Source organism: Homo sapiens, chromosome 6 (genome assembly GCF_000001405.40).
Source record: "Homo sapiens chromosome 6, GRCh38.p14 Primary Assembly".
NCBI classification, from domain to species: Eukaryota; Metazoa; Chordata; class Mammalia; order Primates; family Hominidae; genus Homo; species Homo sapiens.
Window position 1 is genome coordinate 88,897,740 of NC_000006.12, and position 12,842 is coordinate 88,910,581.

The following is a 12,842-nucleotide window of genomic DNA, read 5'->3' on the forward strand; positions in this document are numbered from 1 at the left end:
ATGGCTCACCAAACCTAGATTACTTGTCCCAAAAATACAGTTTATGCTGAATAAATTTTTTTCCTCCTGGAATCCTGGAATTTTGCTACATGCTAAGCACAGAGTGCCTACATGACCGGCCATCAATAAAAATCTTGAGCAGTGAGAGTGTAATGAGCTTCCATGGACAGAAACATCACAAATACATTGCTGCAGGAAGAGTGAGCTCAGGATGACCCCTCATGAGAAAAAGAGAGCACAAGAAAGCCTACACATTAACTCCCCCCAGACTCTACTTGTCTTTGTCTCTTATGATTGAGCTGTATATCCTTAGTACGTTGCTGTATAAATCTGAGTTATGAGTACAACCATATGCTGAGTCCTGAGTTATTCTAATAAATCTCCAGAAGTGAGGGTGGTACAGGGAACCCCTAACACAACTCAGTCTCCACTTTCTCGCCTTCCATTAGCTTCTTAAAATTACCAGTCTGACCCAGCCCTACTGCACCACAGAAAATAATCCTCAGATAAATACTTTCCGTCCTTATTGAATTTTGTCCTCTCCATGAAATCATACTGTTAAATTGCTCCCTTTAAGTTAATTCTAAACTATTTCTCATATTTTACATTTCTTTTGTCTTTTCATGCTGCATGCTGGAAGGATTTCATAGCTAGATCCTCTAGCTTGATAATTTCATTCTGCTACTCATCCCACATACTAAGTGGTTTTTTAATCTTATCATTTCCAAGATCTCTAATTTGTTCCTCTTCTTAATAGCCTGCTATTATTTTATGGATTGATAGCCTCTCTTGTCTTCTAAAGAAAGGTTCTATTTGCTTTCTCAAATAGAAAAATTTTTAATTTTTCCTTTCTTAGTATATCTAGTATTACTTTTATATAGGACTTAATTTTTACAATATATAATTTTTAGTATATATACTGTGTGTGTGTGTGTATATATATATATTATATATATGTATCTCCCCAGTATATATTCTTCTACACTAAGTTATTCTTCTATACTATGTTTTCTGTGCATATGCAAAGAAATAACCAAAAAGTACAGAGCAAATGGCTTGGGAATGAAGAAATATTTTGCCTTTTAACTCTATATACTCCTAGATGTTTGCATTTATATTTTACAAAAAAAAAAAAACTCATCTTTAAGTCATCTGTGTATGTTTTAAAGCTAAATAAATAAGTAAATAGGGAAAAATTATTCTAAAAAGACAACAATACCAATGGTAGTATGAAAGTTGAAGGATTATAAGTTTTCTTTCGTTTTCAAACTTTCTTTAATAAACTAAAGATTAATGTTCTTTCATCTTTAATATATTACTTATATGAGTAAAATATTTAATAATTTTAGGATTTACTAATTATGGTTTGAAAAAAGAAAAAACTACCAAAAGGCATAAGGTTTTAGAACTTTTTTTTTTTCCTAATTCGGCCTTTGGAGGTATAAGCACAAATATTCTCAAAAATCACCAACTCATAACAGAAATCAAGACTAATTGCTTTCTCCAAAAAGAGAGAAAGAAGGTTTCGGCTTTTTTTTTTTGAGACAGCCTATCACTCTGTCACCTAGGTTGAAGTGCAGGTGAATGCAGTGACATGATCACAGCTCACTGACTGCAGTCTCAACCTCCCAGGCTCAAGCAATCCACCCCACCTCAGCCTCATAAGTAGCTGAGACTACAAGTGCACACCACCACACCTGGCTAATTTTTTAATTTTTTGTAGATACGAGGTCTCACTACGTTGCCCAGGCTAGTCTCAAACTCCTGAGCTCAAGCAATCCTTCCGCCTCGGCCTCCCAAAGTGCTGAGATTACAGGTGTGAGCAACTGCACCCAGCCTAATTAGACTAACTTTGTAGCCACAAAAAAAAAAGCTGGACAATGTTAAAGAATTCATTTGAAGACCTCAGAGAATTAGAAAGGCAATAAGGACTTGAAGGGCCAAAAACTCAGGAGGAAGGGAGGCCAGAGAGGTGAGCTAGACATCTTCTACAGCTTTTCCTTTCTAGTACTCTCCTCTAGAGGCACTGTTTCAAAAATGGTAGCTAAGACACTAAGAAGCTGAACAGAAATTTCAGTAATATCACAGCAATGGGAAATAAAAGCTGGAGTTACAGGTCTTCAAGTGGAAGGAGTCCAATTTAATTCCCCACACTTTCAATGAAGATCCTCACAGGCTATAGGAATAAGAGCAGAGCAAAAATAGACCACTGCCCCAAAACTAAAGTCTAGTTTCTAACAGCTCAATCCTTAATTAAGATATTCTGCTCCTAATTCTCTGTAGAAGCAAAAGTAAATCCTCTCTAAAGAAAGATAACATGACCAGAGCCTCAAATTATTTACATAATTTTTCATAAACAATGTCTAGTATTCAATCAAAAATACTCAAATATGCAAAAAAAAAAAAACTATAATTGACTAGATATCAAAAGGACACGAGAAAAAAAACTTAAAAAAAGATCCACAGGAGACCGACATATTAGTTTTACTTTTTATTTGACTTTTTAAAAACTGGTTTTAATATTTTCAAAAACTGAAATGACAAGATGAAGAATTCCAGAAGAGAACTGAAAATCATTTTTTAAAAAATCAAATGGAAATTCCAGGAGTGAAAGTAAAATAATTAAAATTAAGTAGTCAATGGATGAGTTTAACAGCAGCTTAGACAAAGCTTAATGAGGACATTAGTAAATGCCAAGATAGGTCAGAAGAAAATATCCAAAGTAGGCTGATGCCTGTAATCCCAGCACTTTCGGAGGTTGAGGCAGGTGGGTCACCTGAGGTCAGGAGATCCACACAAGCCTGGCCAACATGGTGAAACCCCATCTCTACTAAAAATACAAAAATTGGCCAGGCGTAGTGGCAGGTGCCAATAGTCCCAGCTACTCAGGAGGCTGAGGCAGAAGAATCGTCTGAACCCAGGAGGCAGAGGTTGCAATGAGCTGAGATTGCACCACTGCACTCCAGCTTGGGCCACAGAGAGAGACTCTGTCTCAAAAAAAATAAATAAAAAGAATAAAAAAAAAAAACAAGAAAATATCCAAACTAAAAAAATAAACAAAAAGATAAAGAATATAAAAAAGAACACAGGAAACAGTTTTTAAAAAAAAAAAAAATTTTAGGCCAGGCACGATGGCTCACGCCTATAATGCTAGCTCTCTGGTAGGCAGAGGCAGGTGGATCACCTGAGGTCAGGAGTTTGAGACCAACTTGGCCAACATGGTGAAACCCTGTCTCTACTAAAAATACAAAAATTAGCTGGGTGTGGTGGTGCACACCTGTAATCCTAGCTACTTGGGAGGCTGAGGCAGGAGAATCGCTTGAACCCGGGAGGCAGAGCTTGCAGTGAGCCAAGATCGCAACACTGCACTCCAGCCTTGGTGACAGAGCTAGACTGTCTCCAGAAAAGAAAAAAGAAAAAAAAAAAAATTTAAAGGCCTACTGGTATTAGGTTGAGCTCCAGAAGAAAGAACAAATAGATCTGAAACAATACTTAAAAAGATAACAGCCAAAAATTGTCTAAAACAAATTAGGAAAAAAACTCCAACTATATATTTAAGAATTCCTACATACACCACGCAGGATAAATACAAAGAAAACCACAAGTAGAAATATCATGGTAAAACTGCTGAAAATCAAAAACAATAAGAAATTACCTTCAAAGAAGCAACAAGGTAGCTAACTTCTCAACAGAAATAAATTCTGGAATGAAACACTCAAAGTGCTAGAAAAAAAATAACTGTCAAGCACCCTGATCTTTTTTTTTTTTTTTTTTTTTTTTTTTTTGAGATGGAGTCTCACTCTGTCGACCAGGCTGGAGTGCAGTGGCGCGATCTCAGCTCACTGCAACCTCCGCCTCCCGGGTTCAAGCCATTCTCCTGCCTCAGCCTCCCAAGTAGCCGGGATTACAGGCGCCTGCCACTAGGCCGAGCTAATTTTTTTGTATTTTTAGTAGAGACGGGGTTTCACCATGTTGTCCAGGCTGGTCTCGAACTCCTGACCTCGTGATTCGCCCGCCTCAGTGCTGGGATTTCAGGCGTGAGCCACTGCGCCCAGCTAACCACCCTGATTTTTATACTCAGAAAAAACATTCTTCAAAATGATGTCGAAAAAGACAATTTCACACAAATACTAAAAGAATGTGCAACAGCATACCCACATGGAAGGAAATAATACAGGAAGCTCTTCAGTTAGAAGGAAAACTATCCAAAATGGAACCACAAAAATACATGAAAGAAAGAGCAGCAGAAAGGGTAAATATGTGGGTATACCTAACCAATAATAGCTGTATAAAAATGCCATGGCCGGGCATGGTGGCACACACCTGTAGTCACAGCTACTCAGGAGGCTGCGATGAGAGGATAGCTTGAGCCCAGAAGTTCAAAGTACAGTGAGCTACAATCACACCACTGCACTCCAGCCTGGATGACAGAGTGAGATCCTATCTCTTTAAAAAAAAATAAAAATAAAAATAAAAGGTCTCATCATGGGGTTTAAGATACACATAGAATTAAAAAACACAATACCAAAAAAGATAGGAATAAGTAAATGGAATAAAAGATTGTAAAATTCTTGGCCAAGCGCAGTGGCTCAGCTCACACCTATAATCCTACTACTTTGGGAGGCTAAGGCAGGAAGATTACTTTAGGCCAGGAGTTGAAGACTATCCCTGCCAAAATAGCAAGACATTGTCTCTACAAAAAAAATAATAAAATTAGCAGGGTATGGTGGCACAGACCTGTAATCACAGATACTTGGGAGGCTTAGGTGGGAGGATCCCTTGACCCCAGGGATCTAAAGCTGCAATGAGCTATGAACAAGCCACTGCACTCCAGCTTGACTGACAGAGTAAGACCCTGTCTCAAAAATAAACAAATAAGATTTTTGCATTGTCTAAAAAGTGACAAAAGTACTAATATATACCAGCCTTTAAAAAGATGTATAGTGAAATCTTTTTTTTTTTTTTTTTTTTTTTTGAGACAAAGTCTCACTCTGTTACCCAGGCTGGGTACAGTGGCGCAATCTTGGCTCACTGCAACCTCTGCCTCTGGGGTTCAAGCCATTCTCCTGCCTCGGCCTCCCGAGTAGCTGGGACTACAGGCACCCGCCACCACGCCCAGCTAATTTTTTGTATTTTTAGTAGAGACGGGGTTTCACATGTTAGCCAGGATGGTCTTGATCTCCTGACCTCACGATCCACCCACCTCGGCCTCCCAAAGGGCTGGGATTACAGGCGTGAGCCACCGCACCTGGCCATGAAATCTTGAGTAACTAATAAAAGAAAAGTAAAGGAATGTATGGTCAACAAGCAATGGGTTGGGGTAATAGAAGAATAAAAGCAACCATAAAGAAGGCAAGAAAGGAACATACCACTAGTGGCACAAAAAAAGAGTAAGACAATTTGAATCTAATCTTTACATGAAATGTACATGGACTAAATGATAAGGCAAAAACTGTTGCCTGAATAAATAAAACCCAGCAACATGGTGCTTGTAAGAGATACACTGTAGTAGTCCCAGCAACTCAGGAGGTTGAGGTAGAAGGATCACTGAACCCAGGGAGGTCAAGGCTGGGCTGCCACTAGTGAGCCATAATCATGCCACCACACTCCTGCCTGAGCAACAGAGTTGAGTCCCTGTCTCCAAAAACAAACAAACAAAACCTATATTTTATGCTATGCTGCTTATTGAAGTTTCCTTAGAATGTGATTGTTATTTTTCTAGGTATGTGACTCAGTAATTTCAGATATCTAAATCCAGGAAATAATAAATCAGAATAAAATAATAAATTACTTTTGAAATAATTTCTATGTTTCGAAGCAATTTACACTTTTCAGTGTCCTTATAGTCTTAAAATTTAAAATGTGTAAATGCAATTAAAACATTGTTTTACAAACAAAAAAAAATTTTTAAGCCAAAAATAACTTACATGGTTTACATAAACTAACAAAGCATTTACTTCCTTGCCTGTGAACCATGCCTACTAATAAATGAGTCGTGGTATATACCACTCAACCATAATATACTAGGAACCTTAATTAATAATTTCATTAACACAATTACCTCCATACTTTCCCTAACTTTTCCCTTTGGCCTATATCATATACTTGTGTGTGTACAAGTACAACCAATACTTTTCCTCTCAACAGTTCCCCTATCCTCCAGTAAAAGAAGATAACTCCTCATATTTATGGTTAGCTCTTTTATTTCTAGAAGATTATTAAAGGTTGGCTAGAGAAGTGAGAGTCTTCTTGATTTAATTTTATGGAAACCATGAAAGCATCACCCAGGGAGGGGGATGCAGAATTCATATGTAAAGTTATTTTAATTATGTGACAATTTTGTAAAGCATTAGTAAAAATATTCACTAGGTATTTAGTTGAAATCTCACAATACTTTGTAAAGAAATAGTAAGTTCTCAATCTAATATCTAAAAGTTCTTTTAGATATTATCTAATATCTAAAGACATAAGAAACAAAAACAGGAAAAATTTACGTAACTGCAATTTTTCTCTTTGAAAAGACAGACTCGTGGCTATTAAGAACCTTTAAAGGCCAAGCACAGTGGCTAATGCCAGTAATCCCAACACTTTGGGATGCCAAGGTAGGAGGATCACTTTGAGCTCAGGAGTTCAAATCCAGACTGGTCAACAAAGTGAGAACCTTCTCTACAGAAAATGTAAAAATTAAAAATTAGCCAGTCGTGTTGGCACATGTCTACAGTCCCAGCTACTCAGGAGGCTGAGGTGGGAGGATCACTTGAGCCCAGAAGGTCAAGGCTGCCACTGCACTCCAGCCTGGGCAACAGAGCAAAACTTTCTCTCCAAAAAAAAAAAATTTTTTTTTTAGAAAGGGCTAGGATGAATCATCTGACAAACCTAGCTAAAGAAACATGGCCAATATTCCATTTTTATAAATCTCAATAAGCTTGCAGAAAAAGGAAAAAAAAAACCTATTATAATATTTTTAAACATTACCAGTTTTAACCGTTCTTTTCTCCTTTTGCCAAAAGAAGCACTTGACCCGGGTTCTGATTCCTTCTTTCCATCCTCATCCTCATCTTCGTCTTCATCATCCTCAAAACACCAATCTGGCAATAGAGGTGGGGGTGGTGCTTCCTCTATGTCACCATACCGACGAAAAAGTTCCTTCAAATAATCACCCTTGTAGATTCCTGGTGGTCTGGCTTGGGCAAAAGTAGCAACTGCTGCTTCGATACTATAGGAAACAAACACCATGCAATTTCCTCGCTATCCTCTATTTATGCAGGCTTATCAAAAACTCACTTATTATATTCAAGGCTCCATATAAAGTACAACAGAAGTTTATAAAATGGGCAAATCACAATCCTCACCCTCAAGTCATTCAATCTATTAAGGGACACATTCATTCTGAAAAGGTTTTAATATAAGGTATTCAGAAAATTCTGAAATTCTAAAAATAAATTGCTATGAGTATATAGTAGAGACCTAGATAGGGTCTGTGAAGAATTTAGTCTTGAAGGTTGAGGTCTGACTCTGCAGCAAAACATCAGTCAAAAAAACAACAATGTGAGCAAAGTAAAAGCATATTGATTTTACAGGAACTTTCAACAGATCCAGGCACTAAGAGTCTAGATCATCAAAGAGAGGATAAGCATAGGCTAAATCTGACATAGGAAACTGAGATCATTGTGGAGAGCATCTGAATGGTCAGAGCTAGAAAGTACATGCAGTACAGAACCACCAACAATGCATACTGCAAAATTCAAAATCATATGTGTACTTCAACTGATTATATTCAAAAAAGGACCTACTATGTGAAAATCTTTGTAAACATAAATAATGATGCTCCCTCAGTCAACAAGAAAATTCAGTTAGTAATATATTCTCTTAAGAATATTGGGTACTAAAGTCGTAATCTCTCAGGATCTAAAAACACACTTCAAAAATAACAGATGCTCAATAAAGACATGTTGATTGGCTTAAATGGAGTAACACTCTCCCAAAAATACTAAAATACAAAATATTGGAAGAATCTGTCTCTGATAATTCTGTAAGAGGTGAAAAAAATCTGAAAAAGTGAATATACAGTTTATGAAATTCATAAGCACTCAAAGTGATTTGCTGGTTAATGCAAAACACCTGGCTGGGTGTGGTGGCTCATGCCTGTAATCCCAACATTTTGGGAGGCCAAGGGTGGAAGATAACTTTAGCCCAGGAATTCAAGATCAGCCTGGGTAACATATGGAGACCTCCTCACTAGACAAAAAAGAAAAAATTAGCCAGGCATGGGTGGCACATACTTGTGGTCCCAGCTACTTGAGAGGCTGAGGCGGGAGGATTGCTTGATCCCAAGAGGTGAATGCTGCAATGAGCCATGATCACACCACTACACTCCAGCCTGGATGACAGAGGAAACCTTGTCTCAAAGAACAAAACAAAACATACATATATACACATACACACATACACACACACACCAAGTAATGGTAGTATAAAGATTAACCATATCTAAAATGAAAAGCAGTTCAAATTACATTAATCATGAGTTCACCAAAAACTTGACAATACAAAATTCTGCAACTAAAATATCAATAAAATTTTTTATTACAAAATACATCTTCCATTATAACAAGATACAAATACCTCCAATCCATTTTCTCCACCAAAAAGGCACATATGAGGAAACCAGTGCGATTGAAGCCATGAGTACAATGAACACCTAGAAAATAAAGTAGCTTTGGTTAAAATTAACAAATCACTGCAGAGGCCACATTTACTTTAAAATTCCAACCTGCAATCAAAACATTTCAGCTAGTTTATAAAATAATTACATTTTTTAATTTTTTAACTTGAAACACCCTTATAACTTGAAAACTTGTCAGTTTGAATTGCTTAGAATCTAATTTATAACTAGCTAGAAGTTTAAGTGTAATATATAGGTTTATTGATGTAAAACTGTCTCTACTGTTTAACAAGTTCTCCTAAAGCTAGAAGATTCCAAGCATTTTAAATAAGGAGGTATTTTCATCAAACACACAACTCAAAAGGACACATAAAACACATACACACAAGATCCTTCTGACCCTCAAACTTTAAATTTCTCTAGTAGAAAAAAAACGGTCCTCTTCATGATCAATGGCATATATTTGCAAAATAGTCAAATCCTATTTTCTAAAATCCAGAAGCTAGAACAGAGCAAATAAACTAATAGAAATATAAATTCATATGGGGCCTGATACTAATTAAATATAATCAACAAAAGTGACTAGCTACAGAAAATAATTAACTGATAGATATATAGTACAATAAAAATTAAGTTACCTTGAAGCTCTCTAGAAACCAACTAACTGTATTTTCAAGTTAGGTTATAATCTTTCTAAATAAATTTTTAAAAGAAAGAAACCAGCTAGGAAAGAAAATTTATTTTCTTAAACTCTTTCTCAGAACATATTCAAGATCATTTTAACTACTGATATGGTTTGGCTCTGTGTCCCCGTCCAAATCTCATCTCAATTTGTAATCCCCACAATCCCCATGAGGGAGAGATCTGGTGGGAGGTGACTGAATCATGGAGGTGGTTTCCCCCATGCTGTTCTTGTGATAGTGAGTGAGTTCTCATGAGATCTGATGGTTTTGTAAGTGTTTGACAGTTCCTCCTTCACATGCCCTCTCTCTCTCTTCTCACCACTAAGATTGTAAGTGTTTGACAGTTCCTCCTTCACATGCCCTCTCTCTTTTCTCACCACTTAAGACGTGCCTGTTTCCCCTTCCACCATGATTGTAAGTTTTCTGAGGCCTCCCCAGGCATGCACAACTGTGAGTCCATTAAATTTCCTTCCTTCATAAATTACCCATTCTCGAGTAGTATCTTTATGTGAGAAGAGACGAATATAACTAGTTTGAAAATAGTAATTAAAACATGACAATATTGCTGACTCTCCTACAGTCTTCAAAATGAAGCTTTTCCTGTTATTTCTATTTAATTAAAGGATATCCTAATATTTAAGCTGTATCTTTTTTTTTTTTTTTTTTTTTAGAGACAGGATCTCATTCTGTCAACCAGGCTGGAGTTCAGTAGCATGATCAGGTTCCACAGCCTTGACCTCCTGGGCTCAAGTGATCCTCCCACCTCAACCTCCAGAGTAGCTGGAACTACAGGCTCACACCACCATCCCCAGCTAATTTTTTTCTATGGTAAAGACAGGGTCTCATTATGTTGCTCAGGCTGGTCTCAAACTCATGGGATCAAGCAATCCTCTCACTTCAGCCTCCCCAAGTCTGGGATTACAGGCATGAGCCACAATGCCCAGCCTGTATCTTTCTAATATTACCTTCTACAAATTATTCTTCTCTGTATATATAGATCATACTGATACAGTGCAACTAAGATCAAATATAGAAATAAACTAGCTAGATTTACAAAACTTCTAGAAGAAAATACAGGAGTAAATCTTTGCAAGCTTAGAGTAGAAAAAGTTTCTTAGATAAAACACAAAAAGCATAAAATGAAGAAAAATACTGATAAATTAGACTATTTCAAAATAGCAAGGGTTTGCTCTTTGAAAGACATCATTAAGAATATAAAAAAGAGTTCTAGGCAAGACGGCCAACTACCTACAGCTGAAAAACGCCTCTTCCATGAAAAGGAACCAAAATATCAAGTAAGCCACCACACTTTGAACCACCAAAACTTGACAATACAAAATCCTGCAACTTTGAACAGATCTTTTGAGAGAAAACACTGAAAGCCAATAGAGAGGCAAAGCAGACACAGTGTTTGAAGAGGGAAGAAGCGACGTAGACTGCTTGGAGTAACTAGGCACCAGGACTGGCCCCCAGTTCCAGTGTGGACCTAAGGGAGGGCTGAGTAAAGGAACCCTGGGGCACCACACTCCCACCATGGTCCTCTGGGATCCTAGCTACAAGATTCTAGCCATGAGCCCCACAGACCACGGTGCAGCTGCAGCAAAACACCACCATAGGGCCCATCCTCCAAGGCTCTCCAGCTTGTACTGAGTGGCTGCAGGTCCTGCTATCTGCAGGGCGAAGAGAGTAAGACTGCCACTGCCATAGGACCATAGTGTATCTGATCCACATGCCCCTTTGCCTGCCAACTCTTCAAAGACTGCCTGCCTGGCTGCTCCTGCAAGACAGTGCCCACAGAACAGCCTCCACTTCCCTGCCTGAGTGTTCTGCTGGCAGCCTGCTGGCTGATCCTAAGGGGCCAGAGGACAAATGTGCAGGCCTGGTCCCACTTCCCCAGGACTCAAGCACACTGCCCAGGGGTATTGAGTTAAGCTCTGTGGCCTGAGCTTGGGCAGGAAAGGAGCCTTCACTCTCAGAATACAGAGAAGAGTGTGGCATGGAAACTAAGCAACCTCTCTTCAGAAGACCAGTCCAGGATGGGTGTGGCCTGACAGCCAGCCAAGGTTTCTTCCCCAGGAAGCTCCGTGGCTTGGAGCATCTGAAATGGCTCAACGAACTGGGCACGCAGGGCTTTTGAGACAAGCCTGGCCAGTCTGGTTGCGCCTGCTCCTGAGACAGACATCAGACAGAGACCAACCAGGTCAGGGGAGTGCAAGTTGTGAGGGCCACACAGCCATCGGCTGGGCTGCAAACCCGGGCCATGGTCACTATACTGGCTACACACACATACGGTGCCACTTCCCTGCCTGAGGATCTACCACCCTTGCTTGACCCACTGCATTACCAGACCACCTGCAGACATACCCCACAACCCACTCTTACTGACAAGCACAGGGGACTGGTAGGTCCCTAAGGAGTTTCAGGTCTCCTGGTGGCCTAACCCTTGGCTTGAATCATATCTAAGCGAGCAGGAAGAGAAGCCCACCAAAGCCCCACACAGAGCAAAGGAAACGTGAGACAGTGCCAGTAGCTGAGGGGGATACCACCAAGGCTTAAGAACAGACTATGAGAGAAAGTCATCTCTTACCCTGCGTCCTCTCTCCAGAGCACTGCTGAGGACACAATGAAATACAAAGGGAGCATGCGCAGCTGTGTAAGAGCCTATCTGCCCTTATATTTAAGCACCAACTGCAGCTTGAATTACACAGCAAAACAAAATACACTGCTTCAACATGCAAAGCCTGTGAAACCCTCATAGAAACCTATCTACAACCAAGGAACTCATACAGAGCCTTGGCCCTCTGAAAGCACCCAGAAATGAAGCCAACTGACTATACACAACATTTACCACCATCAAACTCTCAAGGGAAAAAAGAATATTTAAAAAAAAAAAACCCATTCAATCAACAGCAAATTCAAAAACAAAAAGAAGGACCAGTTCCCTCAGATGAGAAGTAATCAGTGCAAGAACTCTGGCAATTCAAAAAGTTAGAGTGTTTTGTTATTTCCAAAGGATTGCATATACTCCCTAGCAATGGATCCCAACCAGAACGTAATGTCTGAAATTATAGACACAGAATTCAGAATATGGATGGCAAGGAAGCTCAACAAGACCCAAGAGAAGGTTGAAATCCAATCCAAGGAAGTCAGAAAAACAATCCAAGATTTGGAATATAACATAGCTATACTAAGGAAGAACCAATCTGAAATTCAATTCACCACAGGAATTTCAAAATACAATTAAAAATCTTAACAACCGGCCTTATAAGAGATGCTTAACAACAGACTAAACCAAGCAGAGGAAAGAATCTCAGAGCTTGAAGACCAATCCTTTGAAGCAACTGAGTCAGACAAAAATAAAGAAAAAGAATCTTCAACAAATGAACAAAGCCTCTGAGAAATAATAGGATTACATAAAGTGACCAAACCTACAACCCACGATATTCCTAAGAAGAAAGAGTAAGCACCATGAAAGACATATTTGAGAATATAAT

The 12,842-nt window shown here is 38.7% G+C and overlaps 1 protein-coding gene across 5 annotated transcripts in view, besides 1 other annotated feature; it reads right to left on the bottom strand.

Annotated features, from left to right (window-relative positions):
* RNGTT (RNA guanylyltransferase and 5'-phosphatase) overlaps positions 1-12,842 on the bottom strand; it is a 353,722-nt gene that overhangs the window by 287,843 nt on the left and 53,037 nt on the right. For all 5 annotated transcript variants that reach the window (NM_001286428.2, NM_001286426.2, NM_003800.5 and 2 more), the window contains 2 exons: positions 8,626-8,701; positions 6,976-7,216 (listed from right to left, as the gene is read on the bottom strand). In NM_001286428.2, the coding sequence (NP_001273357.1) occupies positions 6,976-7,216; positions 8,626-8,701 (317 nt within the window). The remainder of the gene's footprint in view (positions 1-6,975; positions 7,217-8,625; positions 8,702-12,842) is intronic.
* Positions 9,498-9,698: a silencer, noted in NCBI's record as "peak5948 fragment used in MPRA reporter construct". NCBI's record gives its function as "represses an SCP1 promoter by STARR-seq MPRAs in K562 erythroleukemia cells {active_cell/tissue: K562}" and the evidence as "EXISTENCE:reporter gene assay evidence [ECO:0000049][PMID:32103011]".